Source organism: Homo sapiens, chromosome 6 (assembly GCF_000001405.40).
Source record: "Homo sapiens chromosome 6, GRCh38.p14 Primary Assembly".
Classification (NCBI taxonomy): domain Eukaryota; kingdom Metazoa; phylum Chordata; class Mammalia; order Primates; family Hominidae; genus Homo; species Homo sapiens.
The window spans coordinates 129,756,118-129,777,253 of record NC_000006.12 but is presented as its reverse complement, the minus strand read 5'-3'; the positions used below and the strand labels follow the sequence as shown (position 1 = coordinate 129,777,253).

Here is a 21,136-nt window from a genome sequence, read left to right as displayed (position 1 = left end):
GATTGGATCAAGGGGGTAGAGTTCCCCCTTGCTGTTCTTGTGATAGTGAGTTCTCATGAGAGCTGGGTGTTTAAAAGTGTGTAGCACCTCCCCCTTCACTCTCCTCCTCCTTCTTCAGCCTTGTTAGATGTGCCTGCTTCCCCTTTGCCTCCCACCATAATCATAAGTTTCCTGAGGCCTACCTCTAGCCATACTTCCTGTAAAGTCTGCAGAACTGTGTGAATCAATTAAATCTCTTTTCTTTATAAATTATATATTCTCAGATAGTTCTTTATAGCAATGTGAGAACAGACTAATACACTGCGCTAATAGTTTCTCTCTGTCTCAATTATCTTTGTCAGCTTTTGGTGTTTTCATTGCTAAGGTGATTTTGCAAATGAAGTTAGATGCTGTGATGATTAATTTTATGTGTCAGCTTGGCTAGGTTATGGTCCCCAGACATTCAGTCATCAATCTAGATTTTTCTTTTTAGATATGATTAACATTTAAACCAGTCATAGACTTTGAGTAAAACATATTACCTTTCTATAATGTGAGTGGGCCTCATCCAATCAGTTGAAGGCCTTAAGGAAAAAACACTAGCTGTGCACAGTGACTCACGCCTGTAATAGCACTTTGGGAAGCCAAGGTAGAAGGATCACTCAAGCCCAGGAGTTGGAGACAAGCCTGGGCAACATAGTGAGACCTCGTCTCTACAAAAAATAAGCAAAATTAGCTGTGTGTAGTGGTACACACCTGTGGTACCGGCTACTCGAGGGGGCTGAGGTGGGAGGTTCACTTGGGCCCAGGAGGTTTGAGGCTGTAGTGAGCCAAGATTGCGCCACTGCACTCCAGCCTGGGCCACAGAGCAAGACCCTATCTCAAAAAAGAAACAAAGAAAAACAACAACAACAACAACACTGAAGTCTCCCAAGGGAGAAGGAATTCTGCCTCCAAATTGAGATATTAGGTATGAGTCTCTGGCCTGCAAGCCTGCCCTGCAAAATTCAGACTTGTCATGCCCCACAATTGTGTGAGCCAATTCCTTAAAATAAATCTCCCTGTCTTTCTCTTTTATTCTTATTCTATCTACTTGAGGCATTTATTTGATGCTTGATATTGACTAAATAATTTCATCTCTCTATTCTTCAACTCCCAAACTCATTCAAGTAATTCAACCTTCAACATAAATTCAGTCCTTAAATCAAAATGTCGAAGAAACGGGTCTTGTTGATATATATTTAAGCACAATAAACTTTTGTTATATATTCCAGTAGTTTTTATTTTGTTTCATTTTTCCATGTTATTAAAGTTTGTGTGAAATGGACATCATTCAGCTTACTAGTATAACTGCTTTTTTCATTTTCACAGTACATTTCTGAGTAGAATGTACTGCTGCTCAATAAAGGAGAATTTTTTCCCCTAGAGATTTATGGAGGATTTCCAATCATTCAACCCTAACTGAAATTCCTAGTGACTGAAAAAAATCCCACTTTTAGAAAATAGTGACTCTACAGGTGTGCTATGTGTCAATCACCACTGCTGCCATTTTTCTTCTATGTACAAACAATGAAAACAACAGCTTCCCTTTATGCCATCTAATTTGTACAGACCTAGTGCTCTCAGACCAAGTGAATCTTTTAGCACAGGAAGCAATATTTATGTATTCAGTACAACATTTTCACAAATGTTTGGTAAATACATAATATGTGCCAGGAGCTGTGTTACACATGAAATATAAAAAGTATCCTCACTTTTGAAACACATATCACCTACTAATGGAAGAGACAAGTGAGAAAGAGAGCATTTTAATACAAAGTTGTGATTTTGACAAAAGGACTGTGTCAGTTATCAATTTATTACCTCTCAGCTCCAAATCCATTCTTTTATCGCCTGACACTGAAGAAGCATTCCTCTTGCCAGCAGGCATGATGCTAGGCATTGTCAGTAGAGGGCGCTAGAGGGACACTGCGGGAGGATGGGATGTCTCTTCCTGGTTCCGGTGTTTTTATTCCAGCATTCTTGCTTCTGCAGCGCTGGACTGGCATTCAGGACACCCAGTGGCGCTCACTTCCAGGGAGTTTCAGCAGCACCGCTGTAGAAGTCTTGCAGTGGTTCCAAAAGTGCTCCAGCAGGCTTTCCAGTAATGAATGAGATACAGCAGTACTTCCCAAGGCAGTTTCCAGGGGAGGGCTGCAGTCATCTTAGCAGGCTCTCCAGGCATCTCATTCTCCTAGCAGCAGCTTCTGGATGAGCTCTACAGTCACCCCAGCTAGCTTCACATCAGTATGTTCAGTGGCACACTGCTGCAGGTAGATTCTGGTGAGTTCTGTGGGTGCCCAGACAGTTCAACAAAACCTCTTGCAGGTGACTCTGGTTTTCTGGTGATTCCAGTCAGTACCCAGCCAGCTTCTTCGCAGCCAGTTCAACAGCAGCCCAGCAGGTAGCTCCCCACAAAATCTCATCAGCATCCCAGAAGGCAGTGTCCTGCCTACTAGCTTAGCCCATGAGCACCTCAGCAGGAGACTTGCAGCTTGTGATTATCAGCCTGCAGATTGTGGACCAGCTCTGGCCTGGGCAACCCAGTGAACTTCTCCACCATCCAGGGGACAGCAACCACACCAAAGAGCTCTGAGTCCCAGTGTTGGAGAGGGCCTCCTTCCTTGGGTAAACTCACTCAGTCTTGGGGTATTCTTGAATTTATCTTTATTCCCTTTTTGTAATTTTCTCTGTAAATAGTTAATGATTCTTTATATTAAGCATTCTCTTTTCAAATTACTGTGTGGTTTCTGTCTCGTTATTGGACCATTACTTATACAAGCACTATTTATTATATCTTAACCATAGATAAATTGATTGACCCTAAATTGATAGTACATAGAACATTACAAAGTATAATGAAGTGACAAAATACCTGTATTTATGTGCTTTTCCTCCTTGCTTAATAATGCATATTATACCTTAAATAATCACAGATTTTTCTAATCTCCTTTATTCCTCAGTGACCACTATTAATCTTCCTTTTATCTGAAAAAAATGTACCTGAAAGATCCACTTTCATGTCGCCTAAAAATGAATGTTGAAGAAATAGTAGAGTGTATCATACCAGTCTGAAATAATTTTCTCCAGCCCAAACTAAAGTGCATTATAAATTTAACTCCAAGTTTAATCATCCACTTGCCTTGGGGATTAAATTTGTGAAAAATTGGGTATTAATCAGCAAATGCTCTACTTCACTACTTCATCAATGCTGAAATTTCAAAATCAAACTTCTTTGTGGAGACACATTGATCTGTAGGAGAAGACAGGTGAGTATGACTGAATTAAACTTTTTAAAACTATTAATCATGGAACAATATCTTACATCTTATGAAAGCAAGTTCTCATTGACTTTAGGGGGTGTATTATTCCTATTCTTTTTTTAAGGAATTGCAAATATAGAGGTCTGAGGCAATATATTCCAGAATGCACTTCAGTAACACAGCAGCAGTCTACTGGAATCATACTATGGAAAACACACAGTGGGACAAAAAAATGAATCCAGGTCCTGCCCTTAAGGAGTTTATATCCAGCAGGGAAGAGATTCATGTAAATAACATGTAGAATTTAGGACAGGCTGAACGAGTAATAAATAAAGAGTATGGCAGCCATGAGCAAGTACCTTCCTACCCTCCAGCTGCAGGTAGTGTAAAGCTGCAGGGAGTATAAAGCTGCAGGGAGTGAACAAGGTCCCCTCATGACAGGCATCACAGCTTTTATACTGAAACCAAGCTTCCTGTAGCCTGCTCCCAGCCAACGACTGAGAGTGGCAGCCATACTAGGGCAGCCTGTTTCTGGAAGAAGCCAGACTCTTCTGAAGAAAGGCTGGCTTGAGGATTTACCACCACCCTTGCTGAACTTTCCTGATAACTATACTGCATCCAGCTTCTTTCCCTTTTCTCTCTTCTTCACTGCATTATAGTCTGATAGTTCCCCCAGCCTCCCTTGGCTGTCTTCATGTTCTCTCCCACACATTTCCTCAGACATCATTGCTGCAGTTTAATTCCATCCTGGCTGCTCTGGCTCCTGGAGGACCCAGATTTACACACACAAGTACAAGCAACATGTATGAATATATAAAAAGAAGCAATACTAATTTTGAAAATCTATCTCAGAGGGAAGTATCTTTTACTCTAGATCTTGAAGAGTTGAATTTCAGTAGGAGAAAATACAGGACAAGCAGGGGCCTGTGGGATAGCAAATGACATGGTGAGATCAAGCAGCCAAGCATGTCCAGAGTGTCAAGTGCATAGCAGAATATAATGGGAGACAAATTTTCCAAGACAGAAGGGGCCAGGAACAAACTCTCAAATGCTATACCACAAAATTTAGTTTATTCCTAATCATTTCAGCATTTTGAATAGGAAAGAAAAAAATGCATATCTCAGACAAGAGGCTTTGTGACTGTAAGTAGAAAACCCAATTCAAGTGGTTCTAAGCAGATTCTATTGGCTCACAATCCAACAAATCAAGAGATGAGGTAGGCATTTGGGTGGGTAGATCAATTTAATGGTATCACCAGTAGCCCTTTTTTAAATCTCTGCTCTTCACTTTGTACAATGTTGACTTCTTTTCAAGGTGTAAAGATGGTTTCTAGTAGTGTTAGGGGCTGTACACTTCCTTGTTTAAATGTAAGACATAAGAGGGAATCTCAGAAATCCACTAAAGAAAAGGGAAGAAGCTTTCTGAAGCCTGCCACAAACTTTCCTGGCCTTTTCATCAGTTAAAATTGGTTTACATACCCATTCCTTAACCAATGAATGGCAAGAGTTTGGCGTTGCTATTAGATCAATGAGAATCAGACTAGTGAACTTTTCCAGGAGCAAATGGACTGTTTGGGGATATGAACAGATAAAGACTCTTAATTTGGGATCTATTAGAAGAAAAGCCAACTCTCTCAAGACAATCAACAATGTCCACTGTGTCAGCTGAAGAATGATGAGGTTTGTAAATTTAGAAAGGAGAGCTTTAGTTTTCATAAAGGGCTGTAGCCTGCAGGTGGCCATTCTGACAGGCTGGGAAGTGTAGCCTCTGGTCAGGAGCTGGAGACAAATACTTGAGGGAGGGGCAAAGGGAAAAGGAGTTTATGCTGGGTGGGGTGAGCAAATATATTCAATATAAATATATTCAATAAACCATAGGAGTCACGAATACTTATGAAAGGAGAAGAATGTGCATATCCAGTTGAGCTTCATGCCTCTTCATGGGTCCCATCTACAAAAAATGGCAGCATTAGCGTGATCCGAGCGTAGAGTTTCTGGCCCTCTGATGTCAAAAGGTGAAGCAGAGAACATCAAAACCCTCATCGTGCATCCTCTGTAGACTGGCCAGACCACTCTATAGATGGTTGTCTCTTATCAGGAAGACATGCTAGTCTGTTGTTTTGTGGAAACCACAAAGGGCAGCTCCAGGCATTTGGCTGATATCAGTGGTAGAGTCTTTTGAGAGGGCTGGCTTCTTTTTCACCCTTAGGGATGAAAGCCTAATGGCAGTTAGTGAGGGAGGGGATATAACAAGGTGTCTGACCTCCCATCCCATCATGGCTGGAAACTCAGTTTTCAAGGTTTCTTTGGGGTCCCCTTGGCCAAGAGGGGGGGTCCATTAAGTCAGCTGGATGACTTAGAATTTTATTTTTATTTCTCAATTGTAATGGTAAATGAAATTTTAGGAGACTTTGGGGTTTTTTTGGAAGAAGGATTGAAGAGTAAGAAATTAAAACAGGGTGACTGGTTAGACAGAAATGCAGAAGTCACAAGAAGTGATAACTATTGTTACAAGTAGCAACAATGAGATGAATGAATGAATGGGAAGGAAACCTTAACTTTTTTGGAAAAACAAGAAAGGCATAGAATTAGAAAAGTGTGACGTCAAGGAATTCAAAAGAGGAAAGAATTTTGTAGAGGAGTGGGACAGAATAGCAGAGTTTAAGCCCAGGTTTGGCATTGTAGGGGCCAAGAGAAAACAGACCCTTTGCCCATGAAGGTTCACTAAAAAAAAAAAAAAAATCAACTAAAGGAAGGCAGATTAGTTGGAGAAGAGGCATCCAGAATTTATTAACATGTACACAGGAGAACCACAGCTTGATTACATACTATCCAATGGGTTTCAAAGCTTATATACCACCCTGACAAAATTGGTTATGGGAACAGGATGAAGAGGAATTCTGTTAAGAGGCAATAGGATTACTAGAGTGTATTAGTTCTGACACTGCTATAAAGGTACTCCCTGAGACTGGGTAATTTATAAAGAAAAGAGGCTTAATTGACTCTCAGTTCCACATGGCTGGGGTGGCCTTAGGAAACTTACAATCATGGTGGAAGATGAAGGAGAAGCAAGGGTCTTCTTTACATGGTGGCAGGAGAGAGAAGTGCAAGCAGGGAAAATGCCAGACGCTTATAAAACCATCAGATCTTGTGAGAACTCACTATCACGAGAAAGCATGGGGGAAAGAAAACAGCCCCCATGATCCAATCACTTCCCTCCCTCGACACATGGGGATTATAATTCAAGATGAGATTTGGATGAGGACACAGAGCCAAACTGTATCAGAGGGAGAATGAATGACTCTGAGGACAGAAATTAACCTGTAAATAGTTCACTTTGGAATCGGAATGATCTTAGGAGGCAGACATTATCTTGCGATGGGTCTGTTCAGGTGTGTTTACAGTTTTGGTCTTACGCGGGCAGTGGGTGGGGAGGTGGAAATAAAAAAAACCCACTATTCTCCTTGATGGATCTGGATGTTAAACAGATAAAGGAACTTCAGATCCATCCTGTGCTTTGGGAGAGATGGTTAGAGGTGGGGTGGGAAAGGTCAGACCTTGAGGCTCTTTCGGTTCAGCATGTTGAAGTGCTATATTTTGAAGTATTGGTTTCTGAGCCCCAGTGATATCAAGTCAACTTGGAATTGGCCCCTGCCTTCAACTTTAGCCATATTTTCTTGGAAAAGTTACTCTTGTGGAGCAAGGCTATAATTTAGACTGGTTAAGGACTGTTGAACTTTGGCACCAAACAGGATGGAATTCATATCGTGCTCCACCTATTAGCTATCTTACCTTGGGCTCTCAAAGCCTTGGTTTCATCAGCAGCTAAAGATAATATTCTCTGTCCTTATCCATTACCAATTATTGTTTGTGTGCCTGTATGGTTTGGATGTTAGCAAACACATTATTGTATACTATAAATTCAAAATGTAAGATTGTGATAAATGCTGCTAAAAATGCTTCATGTGGTAATTAAATGTGATAGTTGTAAAGATTTTAGTGGTGCTTGGCAGAGAATAAGGTGCAAATAAGTGATAATTATGATTTTTGTCATCAAAACTGAGAAATTCTTGGCTTTGGTGATTAGAACACCTTGGGCAACCCTTCAGAACCAGGTTCATTGCAATATAATAAATAGCAAGAAAAAAATGGCAGATGGTAAATGAGGTAGATGGAATAAGGAATCTCTGCTATGAATTTGAATGAGTCCATGGGGCCCATAGCAGGAGCAGTTGTGTCTCCCCACTTCTGTTTCTATTTTTGTTCGGGACAGAGAAGTAGGGATTAAAACCTATAAAACAGCCCCACCTTAGTTATCTGCTCTTAGCAGGTCTGCATCTTCCTTTCCAGTTATGAAATCTTTGATTTGGTTATACTGAGAAGGTTCTTTCTCCTCCTGCAATCACTTCCTTTAAGAAATGTCCCTAGACTAACTCTGTCCATTTTCTAAGTGGTCATTACAATAGAAGGACTTCCTCCTGTGTCTCCATGTAATATTGACAACATGTGAAAACCAGTAACTGCACAGATGTATACAATTATACAATTATAATTGTAATTATATATGTACAATTATACATAGAGATCCAAAAAACCAGCATTGTCTCTACCCTTAAGAAATTCAAAGCTGCTGGTATGGTGGGGTATGATTCAACTAAAGACAATGAAGAAAGTATCACTGAAAAGCTACAGAGAAGGGGAGCCAGAGTGGGCCTGCTCTGGAGTCAGGATGTACTCAGGTAGCACTTGAGTCCTAAAAGGACAGAAAGAAGGCTAGGTATAAATGGTTCACACCTGTAATCCCAGTGCTTTGGGAGGTCAAGGAGAGAGGATCGCTTGAGCCCAAGAGTTTGAGATCAGCCTGGGCAATATGGTGAGACTCCATCTTTACAAAAAAAAAAAAAAAAAATCAGCCCAGAATAGTGGTGTGTGCCTGTAGTCCCAGCTACTTGGGAGGCAGAGGTAGGAAGATTGCTTGAGCCCGGGAGGTTGACACTGCACCAGCTAGCACTTGTCTCAGCTGTGTTTGTGCCACTGCACTCCAGCCTGGGCAACGGAGCAAGGCCCTATCTCAAAAAAAACAAATAAAAGAGCCACAGGATGGGGCAGAGAAAAAGGGAAGAAAGAGAGGACTTTCCTGCCCCAAGGAACTGGATTCATGGGCCAGGCCAGACACCTGCTAGGGATTCAATACCTGACTTCCCCTCACCTGTGTCCTGTGTGGGCTCTCACAGGCCCAGCTTTCAGCTGTGAAAGCCTCTCAGATTAACCCTCCACATACTTGGCAGAGATGACTGGCTAAAAGTTTTTCAAAATGAAATAATTTTGTTATCTGCAAACCATGGAGAGTTAATGTTGCTGGTTTCAGTAGTAGCTGAGACGGCGTGCTCTGAATGAGGCTCAACTTGGAAAGTAGCATTTTAGGGGGCCGAAAAAAGAAGAAAAGGAGGCATAAGAAAAATAATAAAATGTAAATAGCACCTAAAAGCCATTTGCTTACGTATTGCACACCTAATGTATAGTGTATTTCTATCTTCAAATAATTGACCAGCCCAAAATAGCTGAGAAGGTCAAGAGTTAGTATAGGGGTCCATAGCAAATTCAAGAACTTCAGCTTTCCTGTAAGCGCCACTAACAGATGATCTAACCCATCAGTTCACCAATTCATCGTCACGGGAACATTTATGGAGTACTGGCCGTCCACCAAGCCCCCAAGAAAAGATTTATGTTTACAGTCATGAATCAGCCAGGCATTCTTTGCTTGCATTTTGCTTACCATCTGGAAGACTTAAATTTTAAGATGTATGTTATAATATAGGTTAACATTTCCATTTCAAAACTAGCACAATTACTTTATAAAATATTTAAGAAAGTTGTTGTCTAGTAGGAGGCAGATTATGATGGTACAGAGATAATTAATTTGTGGCACATTGCCTAGATCTTCAAACACAAGGCAATTCTGTACTTAATCCTCGAGGAACAGTGATCTGTTAGGATTAAACCCTTTCGCAGTTTACACCACAAGCTTGATCCCGGAGGCAACTTAATTGGGCAGGGAGAAAGCTAAAGACTAAAAGCTGCTGGTAGGTTTCAAACATCTCTATCATCCTATCAATAAAAAATTTCCTAAGTGCAGAGCAGTGTATCCTTACTCTGTTTTTTAAATTTTATTTTTGCGGTGGGGAAGGGGCGCGGGGATACGGAAGAGATCATTTCCAAATTTAAGGTATTTCCTTCACCGAATCGCACCCTCGTGCCCACTCCTTCATTCTCCCTTTCTCAAATCAACAGAAGTCAACAGTTAAGGGGCTCTGATAACAGCAGCTGGGAAGAAGCCGAGCATGCTCAGTAGCTGGGGCCGCTTTCTGAGCACATAGCAAGCTTTGGTTTGCACCAACACCGGCTAGCACTTGTCTCGAGATGCTGCCGGGCTCGTGCACAGCTGATGCCTGTTCCTGGAAAGCTGATCTCTACCCAATAACATGCGGCTTTCGCACGGTCAGCTGCAGCGGCGCAGCAGCGGGGGTCCGAGGAGCCCGTGGGCTGCAGCCGCTCTGCCGGCTCAGCGCTCGCACGGGTATCCCCCTCCTCGTGGCCACGCTTCAGCCCGGTCCTTCCGGCAGCTGCTGGATGAATAAGCCGAAATGACAGGATTGTGGTTAGCCGTGAAGAGCGCGTAGATGCCACAAAGTAGGTGTGTCACGGAAGAAAGTGCTTAGGGAAGATTCTTGCAGGAGATCTAATTATCGCTTTTCGTCACTTCTTGGGACCCTGGCGTTCCCTGCTCTCCACTTGCGGAAGATGGTTATAGTAGTGACAGAGCTGGCACAATGCTTTCACCTCCGGTAAGGAGAGCATCTTTGCATGCTTTTCTCTTTGCAACGCATATCAGCTTTGAAATATACAGCTGGGAAAGGTCTTTAAACTAGCCTTGCCCTCACTCTACTAGTTTGTTCTTAAGGAAGACTGGGGAAGAGGACTTTTTGTGTGATTTTTAAAAAATCTTTTCAGGTTGGGGTTAAAGACAAGCATTAGTGTTCTTACTAACCTGTCTGTCTTGCCTCTAAAATTTACTTGGTAGAATTTTGCCTTGAGCCTAACATTTAAGTCTCCATTTGCAAGATGAGGTTAGGGGTACTTTCTTTTCTCTTTTAAAAAATAATTCCTGGGATATTCTTGTAAAAGGTACATTATGCTTGTAGGTAAACTGATAATCATAATAGCCTTTTCGAGATGATTGTGATTTCAGTTACAGCCAAGAGAGAAAAACTAATCTTGACATTCACATCAACCTTGGTCAGCGTTGAACTTACACTGAGTAGAGGAAATAGTCGCACTATGATTATCTGGTTATTTGTTAAGAAAAAACAACACAACCCCAAACGTGTTCAGGGTTTACTCTTGGAATAAATAGGAGACACAAGTTTAAACAAAAATTTAAAATTAGTACTCGTCATTTTTGGGTGCTGAAAAGGATGGCTTCTCCAATCAGGCATTGGTTTAAAAGTAAAGAAACATTTTCAAAGTGTAGTTTTGTGTTTGCAAAATAACATTTTTGATAGAAATTGTGGAAAGTCAACATCTTCATATGGCTCCTCATATAAAAGAAAAAAAGCAAAAGAGGGGTCTGTAGGAACTGAAGCCAAGAGCAGCTGCATAAACATATCTAACTCTGTGCCACCAAAGAAAACCTGTCCAAAATGTCATGTAATCATAGCTACAATTTCCATTGCTATTAATTTGCCATCCTCACAGATTTAGCAGTTTTAAGAGAAAGCACTTTTCCAAGTAAATCCCAAGTTAATAAGATAGTAGTAGGTCTACAAGTATTGTCTAACATTTAGCAACTATAATCAAATGGGGCAGAAAAATGTCTTTTTCCTAGTTTGGTATTAGACTTGTTTCATGCTCAAATATACACTTACTAAAAACAACTCATTTAAAATAATAACTGTATTCTTTCTCTGAGGCATCAAAGGATTTTTCCTTATCAAAACAAAAATAAAAAGAATAAAAATCTTTCAGTGATGCAGAGGAAGAAAAAAGACAAGGAAATACTTGTTGAGTGGTGAATACTTCACTGGAAAAAAAAGTTGGAATTTCTGGATAGTTGATTGCTTTTAAAGCCTTCTTTTAAACATAATTTAGTATTTGTGACGCATACCCTGGCAGGCCCATTTAACCATGAATGAGTGACAGTATCTTTATAGACAAACTGTAAAATATGTTCAAAATTTGCCTTATAACTGGTAATCCAAGCCTTCGCTGATGTACTTGCTGATTTCCGTAGCTTGCCGTGGCAGATCTGCACAGGTCTATGAAGGTGTGCCTGATATATGAAATTCAGGCAGGTACATAAGGCAAGGGAGGTGCGTCTTAGCCCTGAAAAGAGTTAAAGATGATTGGAACCAGTCAGGAAATTCTAACAAAGCTAGAAGGGGACAAACCTGAGGACACATCCCCTAGTAAGAAAGGGTGAGGGGTCAAGCTTGTATAGGGCTAGAAATTCCTATTTCTAGTTTGTTCTGTAGGGACTAGAACCCACATACAGTCAACAAGCTTTGTTCTACAAAAGGGATGAAGTTCTTTGAAGTCTGATTACTTACCCAGAAGCTTGGAGAAACCCATTTCTTCCTTTTTTGTGTGTCAACACCCCAGCATGATTAGTAGCACTCCACTTCCTGAGCCCTCAGTGGACTTATGGGAAGACAAAAGCTGTCTGAGTTCTCTGGTGTTAATAGTTTGACCTCTGATCTTTGCCTGTTCATGCTGCTAGCCACTCAGGTCCCACCCAGGTGTCCCTTAGTGAAATTAACGTAAGAAGTGCCCATCTCAGAAGCTCTCAAAGCCCCAGGATTTTACTGAGGAAAACCTGTCTTCCATTCCCTTGTCTGTGCTGGTCTCATTGTCTGAGATGGTAAGTCCCCAACCAGCGATGATCATTCCTATTCTAGTTAGACATAAAATGTGTTCTAATGCTGAGTACCACACTCAGCAGTGACCCAGAGTAGTGCCGTAATGATCAGTCATAAGAAGAAAACAGGAAAAAGTGATTTCTGCATCTGAATATGAGAGAGACTTTCTGTTCCTTTCTCTCCCTCTTTCCTCTGTCACCCAACTGTGACACAATGAGGAGTAAAACTATTCCAGGGCAAGTCATTATATTTCCCATTTTAAGGGGTGAGAATTGTGGTGGGGCCATCGCATATTGTGTCCCTAATCTGTCCCAGACCCCACTATCCACCCTCCATGTCTCTTCCATATCAGTTAGAAAATAACTGAGATTTTATAAGCTCCCTTAGAGGCAGTTAGTCTGTGAAGCACATGGTTGAAATATAATGAATTCCCTTTTAACAATCAAATAGTCCTAGAACTTCTGTTCTAATGTGTTTTCCCTGCCTTTTGCTTCATTAAGAACTTTTGTGTGCCTCTTTATTTCTCTACTACTATTTTAGAGATGGACTCAGCTAGTGCTTAGGATCTGAACATAGTTCAGCTATATAGCTTGTTTATTCTCAAAACTGGGACCAGCATATATCCCAAGAACATTCAGTAGATGGCTACATGATCAGAAATGTTTTTATCTTACTATAAAAGTTATATATTATTTTTCCTATAAATTATACCTACTATAACAAAATAACATAAATATAGATATTCAGTGTATTGATGAACTATAGGGTTCATCACTATAGGGTGTGACGGCTCACACCTGTAGTCTCAGCTACTTGGGAGACCAAGCTGGGAGGATGGCTTGAGGCCAGGAGTTTGATACCATCCTGGGCTATATAGATCCCATCTACAAAAAATTTAAAAAATTAGCCCAATGTGATGGCACATGCCTGTAGTACTAGCTACTTAGGAGGCTGAGGCGGGAGGATCCCTGGAGCCCAGGAGTTCCAAGCCGCAGTGAGCTATGATCTTGCCATTGCACTCCAGCCTCGATGACAGAGCAAGACCCTGTCTCTAAATAATCATCATTATCATCATCATCATCACCATCAAATAGAGAACTTTCTCAGTTATTCCCTCCATCAAATTTATAACAGTCTAAAAATAGCTATTCAGCTATATTTGTATAGCATGATAGGTTTCAGTCCTAGTGCTAATCACTGATTGGTTTTGATGTAATAAAGGAATTTTCCATTACTTAAATGATTCCTAGCTTTGGTTTTAGCAATTTAATGAAAAGATAATTGTACCTACAGAGAACTGGAAATACTCAAACATTAACTATGTGTAGTCTAGGCAAGATGCCAGAAAAATGAAATTAGTTCTAGGATTGATATATTCATGCCCCAAGTTCCAGGGATTCTGTGTCATCTTCAAGGGTATAGTTAGCTTCTAGCCCAGCCAGTGACTTTCAGATTGTCACTGCTAGGAATACAATTTGAGAACACAGACACATATTGAAGTTTGAGGCAGAGCCTTGTATTGTTTCTCTGTGATATTGTTTCTGCCAAGTAGCTCAGCAATGGAGGTTAAGTGAGGGCCATGGCAGACACCTTATCAAATGTGAAAGTCCAGTTGGAATCTGTATATTTGCATTTCTTAGTGCTATGAAGAGCAGACAAAGAAATAGTATAGAGTGTGACCTCTGGTAGGGCACTGAGGGAAGCCCTCTCTGAGGAAATGATGTATGATTTGAACCTGGAATGGAGCTGAAGTCTGGGGACATGTTTCTGGTTGCTTGGTTTGCTCTAGCAATGGATATATAGTAGTGTGGTCAGACCGGAGGGGGTGTGTGTGGGGGGGGGGTAATGGCAGGAATGGAGTATGGGGGTGGGAGTGAGGTAGGGACTAGGGTGTGGGGGAGATGGGGAGGAAGGAGATAAGTTTAAAAAGATAGGCAAGGGCTATAGAGACTGAATTTTTAAAGTGCAGTGGAAGCCACTGGAGGATGCATTTTAAAGGAGCACTATGGCTGCTATGTGGAGAATGTCAACAGGGAAAGCTGGGAGATCAGGAAAGAGGTCATTGCTGTAGACAGGAGACATTGGTAACTTGCACTAAGGAGGTAGTAGTGGAGGTGGAAGCCAGCACATAGACCTCCTTCTCTAAATTATGTTTTATTTTTAATTACAAACATAATGTACTTTCATTGTAGAAAACCTAGAAAATACACAGACATGTCCCCAAAGAAATGAAATCATAACCCCTCCACCCAAACTTAATTGCTGTAATATTTTTGGTATCCTACAGAAAACTTAGAAAATACAGGGATCTGTCTTCAAAAGGAATGAAGTATTCTATAGTCTTAGCACCCGAACTTACAGGTAATATTTTTGGTACCTGTCCTGTGAACCCTTTTTGACACCAGTGTTGTCATTTTCCGAGAAACTGGTTTATTCTGACAAAACATCTCTTCTGGCTTAAATAAACTGGAAAATGTCTGCTCTAAGACTGGATGAGAAAGTGAGTGTATGTGCCACAGAGTCACTTCATTTATTTATTGAATATTTTACTGCACGCCAGATGCTGGGCTCTGTGATATGTGGTGTCTGTTTTTCTCAATTAACCAACTCCTTTCACAACCTAAATTGTTAGCACTACATTCCTTGCAGTTAGGAAGGCTGAATTTTCCCCTTTGACCTTCTATATAAGTTGTGCTTGTTCACTATCCTGCTTTAGCAGAGACATGGGTATTAGTACTCTCATGACATTGGCGTCTTTTCACTAGAGATAGACTAGGAAGAGGCTGAACTTGGGAGGACCACTCTGACTTGGAGTAGACCAAAAGAGGTCCAAAGGCTGAGAGGACCAAATTTTTTGTTGTTGTTGTTTTGCTCATAGGTCTTCATCTTTCCAGAAGTACTTATCAGTAAAGGAGAAAGTGGGCTTCCTCCAGGCCCCCAGACAGGGGCTACTTAAAACATAGAAGGGAGAAATCTTGCAGTAGTCTCCTTATAACTCTCTAAGAATGTATTCATTTGACCTCTTACTCTGGTTTCAAATACGTTCCATTTAATAGGTGTGTAATAACTTGATTATTAAAAATACTAGTAGGGTTTGCATTCTATTTCCAAGCTTTTAGAGTGATTTCATGCAAGTTACTTTATGAAATAAACATTTAAGACCACTTCTTTATCTGTCCCCAGACATCTGAAATTCAGCATACTGATAACAGAATAGGGTTTATATTTGTAATCCAAGCTTGCTCCTCCTGCTGTATTTCCTGTCTCAGTTAAGGCTGACCTTTTCTAAAGTCTCCCAAATGATCAAGGAGAATCTTTTTTAGCTCTTTCTCTTCCATCCAGTAGGAAAGTATGTCTATGCAAGTTCAGAAAAGCCTTGTAAAACTTTTCCTCTCATCCATTCTACCAGTCGCTACTTTGGTTCAATCAACTTCTATCTTTCACTGGGTCTGTTAAGCATTGCAGAAGGCTGTGAAGGGAAGGTTCTCATGCTTGTATGCCTGATTTAAAAAAAAAAGTTACAAAAGACCAAAGAAATCACAAGTTTGCACAAAGGCCATTAAAACCTTCTACAAAAAATACCTCTGCAAGGACATCTGCCCAGCAACTGCCAGTTCAAACTTAGACTGGCATCACCCTTGTTATTGATCTTTGTAGCCAAGGATAATTATGTCAAAGCAATTATGTAATCCTCATTCTTTCTTTTAAAACTTTGTCTTTCTTTACCTCCCTGAATATAAACATGGTTTACCATGGCAGTGTATTCCTGTTGCAATGCTCCATTCTAAAATATCTTTCTTTTTTTAGAGAGCCTCTCTCTGTTATTTAGGTTGACCTATATTTGGTCAATTAATATTGTAGGAAGTTACAGTGCTCTATCTGGTCCTTTATGCTACAGCCAGAATGATCTATTGGGTGTTTTTTCCTACAGGTTTTGATTATGACAGTCTCCAGCTTTTACAATACTGCATATCCACATAAACTTCAGACTTCTTAGACAAGGTACATCCCGATTTGCCTATGTTCCAATTTCCCTATTTTCCAATTTGCCTATGACTCCCCTCTCTCACCATTGTCACCTGTAGTCCAGCTATGTTGATCTTCTCTTTGTTCCTTGAATGTATTAATCCTGAGCTTTGTGCCTCTGCACTTGGTGTCTCCCCATGGAATACTTTTCTCCCTTTTTTCCAAGAGGCATCATCCTCTTCATTCCTGAAGATCCAGGCCTAATGTGACCTGTTTCATGGCTACTTCAGATCTTGTCAATCAACCCTACACTCTCAGAACAATTTGATCAATATTAAAGCATTGTTTTTTTTTATTCATCTCCAATCTATATTTTTCTTCCATTAAACTTGGGTCTGTGAGGGTAGGGCTTTGGTGTTTGGTTCCAAACATTAGTGTGCACTTAATGTTCACCATGTGGATAAGTGAGTAAATGAACCACTTTCTCCTTCTCTCCTTTCCCTTAGTCTGTCCTTCATCTGGAAGGAAGTCTGTCCTTCCAGATTGGATAAGTTTTGTGCTCATAGAAGAGTGTGCCTTCATGGGTGAGGAGTGGTATGTTGTGTTTTGTTTTGCATTCCCGATGAGTCTATCATCATTTCTTAAATCCAGGAGTTTCTAAGAACTACAGCCCTTGGGCCAAATCTGGCCGGACACCTGCTTTTGTAAATAAAGTTTTATTGGAACATAGCCACACCCATTCACATATGTATTGTATATGACACTTGTTTGTGGCAGAGACCGTGTGGTCTGCAAAGCTGAAGACATTTTCTATCTAACCCTAACAGAAAAAGTTTGCTGACCTCTGCTCTAACCCCGAGAAAGAGCTGGAGGCTAAGATCCTAAAAGTGATTGCCTGTAGAAACATTTCCAAAGTAGCAGCTGTTAGGCCCTTATATGGAGTAGTAAATGTCTAAGATTGATTTTGATTTGTATGATGAATATAGAAACTATCTAAGAAAATCTGAAGTTCTGGTAGCTTTGTTTTAGTAATTATAAGACAGATGATTTTGACCTAACTCATCTCTAAACAGCGATTCTCAAAGTTGAATCAGAATTCCATGGAGGGCTTGTTAAACTCCTCCTTCTCCACAGTGAGTTTCTAATTTAGTATGTGTGGGAAGAGCTGCAAAAGTTGCATTTGGAACATGTTCCCAGACGTGTCTGGTCTAGGGACCACACTTTGAGAACCATTTGTCTGCAACAGTGTTCTGAGCCTTAGCTGTGTTTCAGAATCACCCAGAGAGTTTTAAAATTATTTTAAGACCATGCTTGGCCCTTACCCCAGGCTCACCACTTTGGAAGTCCCAGGACTTGAATGTATTTTTAAAAGAATGATTCTGAAGATACTTCCCTGTCATGGTTTATAGAACTATCATATAGGCTTTGCTGGTTAAGGTATGTATGAGATGTTTTGATAAGTTCGAAACAACAACTCGACACAGGTTTTGTTATATTATCAGTATTCAGAAAATCTATAAACTGGAATTTTGTTATCGAATGGATATTACATTTGTCAGTGGACTGCAATAAAAGTATATAGTCCAAAAAGTATAGTGTTCAATTCAGCAAAATTATTTTTCTTTATTAAATTTGACAAGTACTGCATTCGTTTGTAAATTTGTTTTCAGTGTGTAAAATTGTGATTCTATACCTGATACTTCCCTTTTCTACTTTTCCTTGAAAGTCAGTGAGATTTTCTTTTGACCGCACAGTCACATGTGAAGGCCTCACATTTTGCTACTCTTACATGGTGTCAGAGCAAGAAACTTAAATGTACAAGTGCCGTCTAGAAATGGCTGCGGCGCTAGGGAGGTTATCTTTCCTGGCTCTTCCTATTCTGTGTGCAAGGAGAAAACATCCCTTAATATCTGGGTAAGGTACCTTTTAAACATTATAAAGCCCTTATTACTCTGTGTGTGCTTTTGTTTAGAGAACTTGTTTCCCCTCTACCACAGTTTCAACATACTGTATGCTGGCTGTGCTCATTTTAATTTTGTTGATTGCTATTTATAATGTTCTGAAGCCAAGTATTATGTCTGAATACAAATAAGGCAAAACAACAATGAAACAGTAAATGTAGAAGAACCAAGCCTTTGGCACTTTGGCAGCTAATATAATAACCTCAGCAATCATGATCCATACAAAAAACTGTTAAGCACTGTGTTTATGAAGAGCAAGCATTTCTGTCACGCTTTTGGCATGCATCCTTTATTTTTTTTAATTCTTTAATCTTAAAAGGATAGGAATAAATACCAAGACTTGGGTTTATAGATCCCCAAATCCATACAACAAAATAGCCATCAACTTCTTAAACTACATAATTCTGTATTATAGAATCACGATGATTACTAATGTGAAATGTTGGCATATGAATTTGACAAATGGCTTAACAAGAATAATGTTCTGTAGTATGAAAGAGCTCATTTATTAAGTGTCTTTGGATTAATTCGAGTTTCAACCTGGCTGTCTTCAGTGAAATTTTTCATACTTCTTTTGCGTATTATTAAGATTAGAAAGGATATTAGAAGCTATTGTGAGTTAAGTAGAAATGAAGACCTGTTGTTCTTTCCTTTTCATGGATATCACCTGCATATCCCCTGGTCAGCTCAAAAAAGAGGGAATTTTATTTCTAAGGATTTATTGTTATAGCTTCTAGAAAGCTATTGTACCTGGGAAAACCGCAAAGTAATGGAGAATGCTAATTTATTATTCTGTTGTTGTTATTTTAAGCATACTCATTAGAAGTACAAACTCTAGTTCAACTAGGAGAATTGATTGAGATGGAGACTGTTTCTTAATGATCATTAATTTTTTTTTTATTGGCTCATCACTTTTTGCCTGCTAGTGGAATTTCATTTCTCAGGTGGGAATGTTCTAGATTCCTTCTTCCTACACAGGCTGGGCCAGCATTATGGACATAGTTCTAAGAGATCTCCTTGTTCTGAGAGCAAAATGAAGGACTTCTTGTCTTTTCTATTGCTCCTAGGAATGTAGTTTAGATAAGTGGATTCTCAAAATGAACATGCTTTGCCCAAGGTCAGATGGGCCCCATGCTTGGTTTAATGCTCTGCTGTTGCTGTCCTGAAATTCTTAATATTTCTTGAGCCCTATTTTATGGGGGAAAAGGCATCTTAATTTCCCTGGGCATAGTTGCTCACACCTGTAATCCCAGCACTTTGGGAGGCTAAGGTGTGAGGATCACCTGAGGTCAGGAGTTCGAGACCAGCCTGCCCAACATGGTGAAACCCCATCTCTACTGAAAATACAAAAATCAGCTGGATGTGGTGGGACATGCCTGTAATCCCAGCTACTTGGGAGGTTGAGGTGAGAGAATCACTTGAACCCAGGAGGCAGAGGTTGCAGTGAACTGAGATCACGCCACAGCACTCCAGCTTGGGCAACAGAGTGAGACTCTGTCTCTTAAAAAAAAAAAAAAAAAAAAAGTTATTGGACAAGGGGCTTCACATTTTTATTTTTCACTGTACCCTATAAATTATGTAGTCAGTCCTGCCCAAAGGAACTGTATTTTATTATTGATTTCGCTATAGATTTTTAGCATGTCTAATGCACAAATGAATGAATGAATGAATGGGTCCTTCCTTATTCTGAGAACAAGATGAAGCTTTCTGCATTGCTCATAGGTGTGCAGTTTAGGTCAATGAGCTCCTAACATGAATATACTTCAGACATAATGAGGTGGAGAGTTGAGTGATGGTTGGGTGGAAGTGCCAGTAGTAAATGAACTTTTGAAGAATATAGATTCTCAGGCCTCACCTGAATCTTCCTGAATCAAAATTTCTTGAGACTGGAGCTCAGGAATCTGTATTTTAAAGGCACCTTAGGTACTACTGAGCCTGTGCCTGAATGACAGTCTTTTCCCATAGAGCTCTACAAGGCCCGCTGGTCTGTGCCTAGATATAGATTTCTTTGGGGTAAGGTGGGATTTGTCAAAGTTGTCAAGAAAAAGGCCTATTTCAAATGATCTCAAGCGAAATTTAGGATACGGTGGGGGGATAGCCAGGCTAAGAAGTATGATAATCCAAGTCTAGGGTGATCCAGTATGATAGCAACAGGGCTACCATTTGTCTAATGGCTCATTCCCCATCAAAGGGATATGATACTTCGTGTACCTTGTGCTCACAAACTCCCAAAGTATGAGGTCAAGGTTGGTCTTAGGAACTATGCTACAGCATAAAGTGTCAGCTTGTTGCCATCTGGTGCCCTCCTCACAGATTTAGCACAATGGGATCTACCTCCAAATGGAGGGAAACAGAGGCGTTGTAGAAAAGCCTGATGGTAAGCCTGGTACCTTCATGTGCAGTTTAGATGTGGGCCTTGCCAGACCTACTATAGGTTTGTGCAGGGGCTGGAGGGGTGTGGTGAGGGTGACATCTGAAGCAAGTTGTGGATGTGGGCTTGTCCATCTCACAGTACCGAATGACACCCAGGTTTTCATTCAGAAAGCAAAGATTCAGGGTAGGAGGACATCTGACACCTGTCATGGTGCACATTGTATGTATCTCCTAATGAGAGGTAAAGATGCTTATGAGACACAAGTCTCTCAATCCATAAGGAAACTTGTAACTCTAAGCATGATGGAGATGTGCACAGTTCATGTTGCCAAATGAGAGCATCTGCTCTATGAGAAGACAGGAAATTTCAGAAGGAGAGGTAGAATCACCCTGAAATGCCTTTTGCGCAGAAGGAAGAGTGTGTGCATGAGGGCAAACATCCGCCAAGCTCAGGAGCAGGTTAGGTTGCTGGATACCAAACAATCATTGTCCGTCATTGTCTAGAAGAGGTTTCAGATCAAGATACACTTGTAAATGGAGGTAGGAGGAGATTCATCTTAGTGGTGGAGAGGTAGAAAGGACAATAACTATGAACAAGGTGTTAGCAATAAAATTTATCCAGACAGAGAAAGTAATTTAT

The 21,136-nt window shown here is 40.4% G+C and overlaps 1 pseudogene, besides 1 other annotated feature; it reads left to right on the top strand.

Annotated features, from left to right (window-relative positions):
- Nucleotides 8,400–8,569: an enhancer, noted in NCBI's record as "experimental_89620 CRE fragment used in MPRA reporter constructs". NCBI's record gives its function as "activates a minimal promoter by MPRAs in K562 erythroleukemia cells, with activity observed for the non-introgressed 6:130089915 variant allele {active_cell/tissue: K562}" and the evidence as "EXISTENCE:reporter gene assay evidence [ECO:0000049][PMID:34662402]".
- On the top strand, nucleotides 20,142–20,921 carry RPL5P21 (ribosomal protein L5 pseudogene 21; annotated as a pseudogene).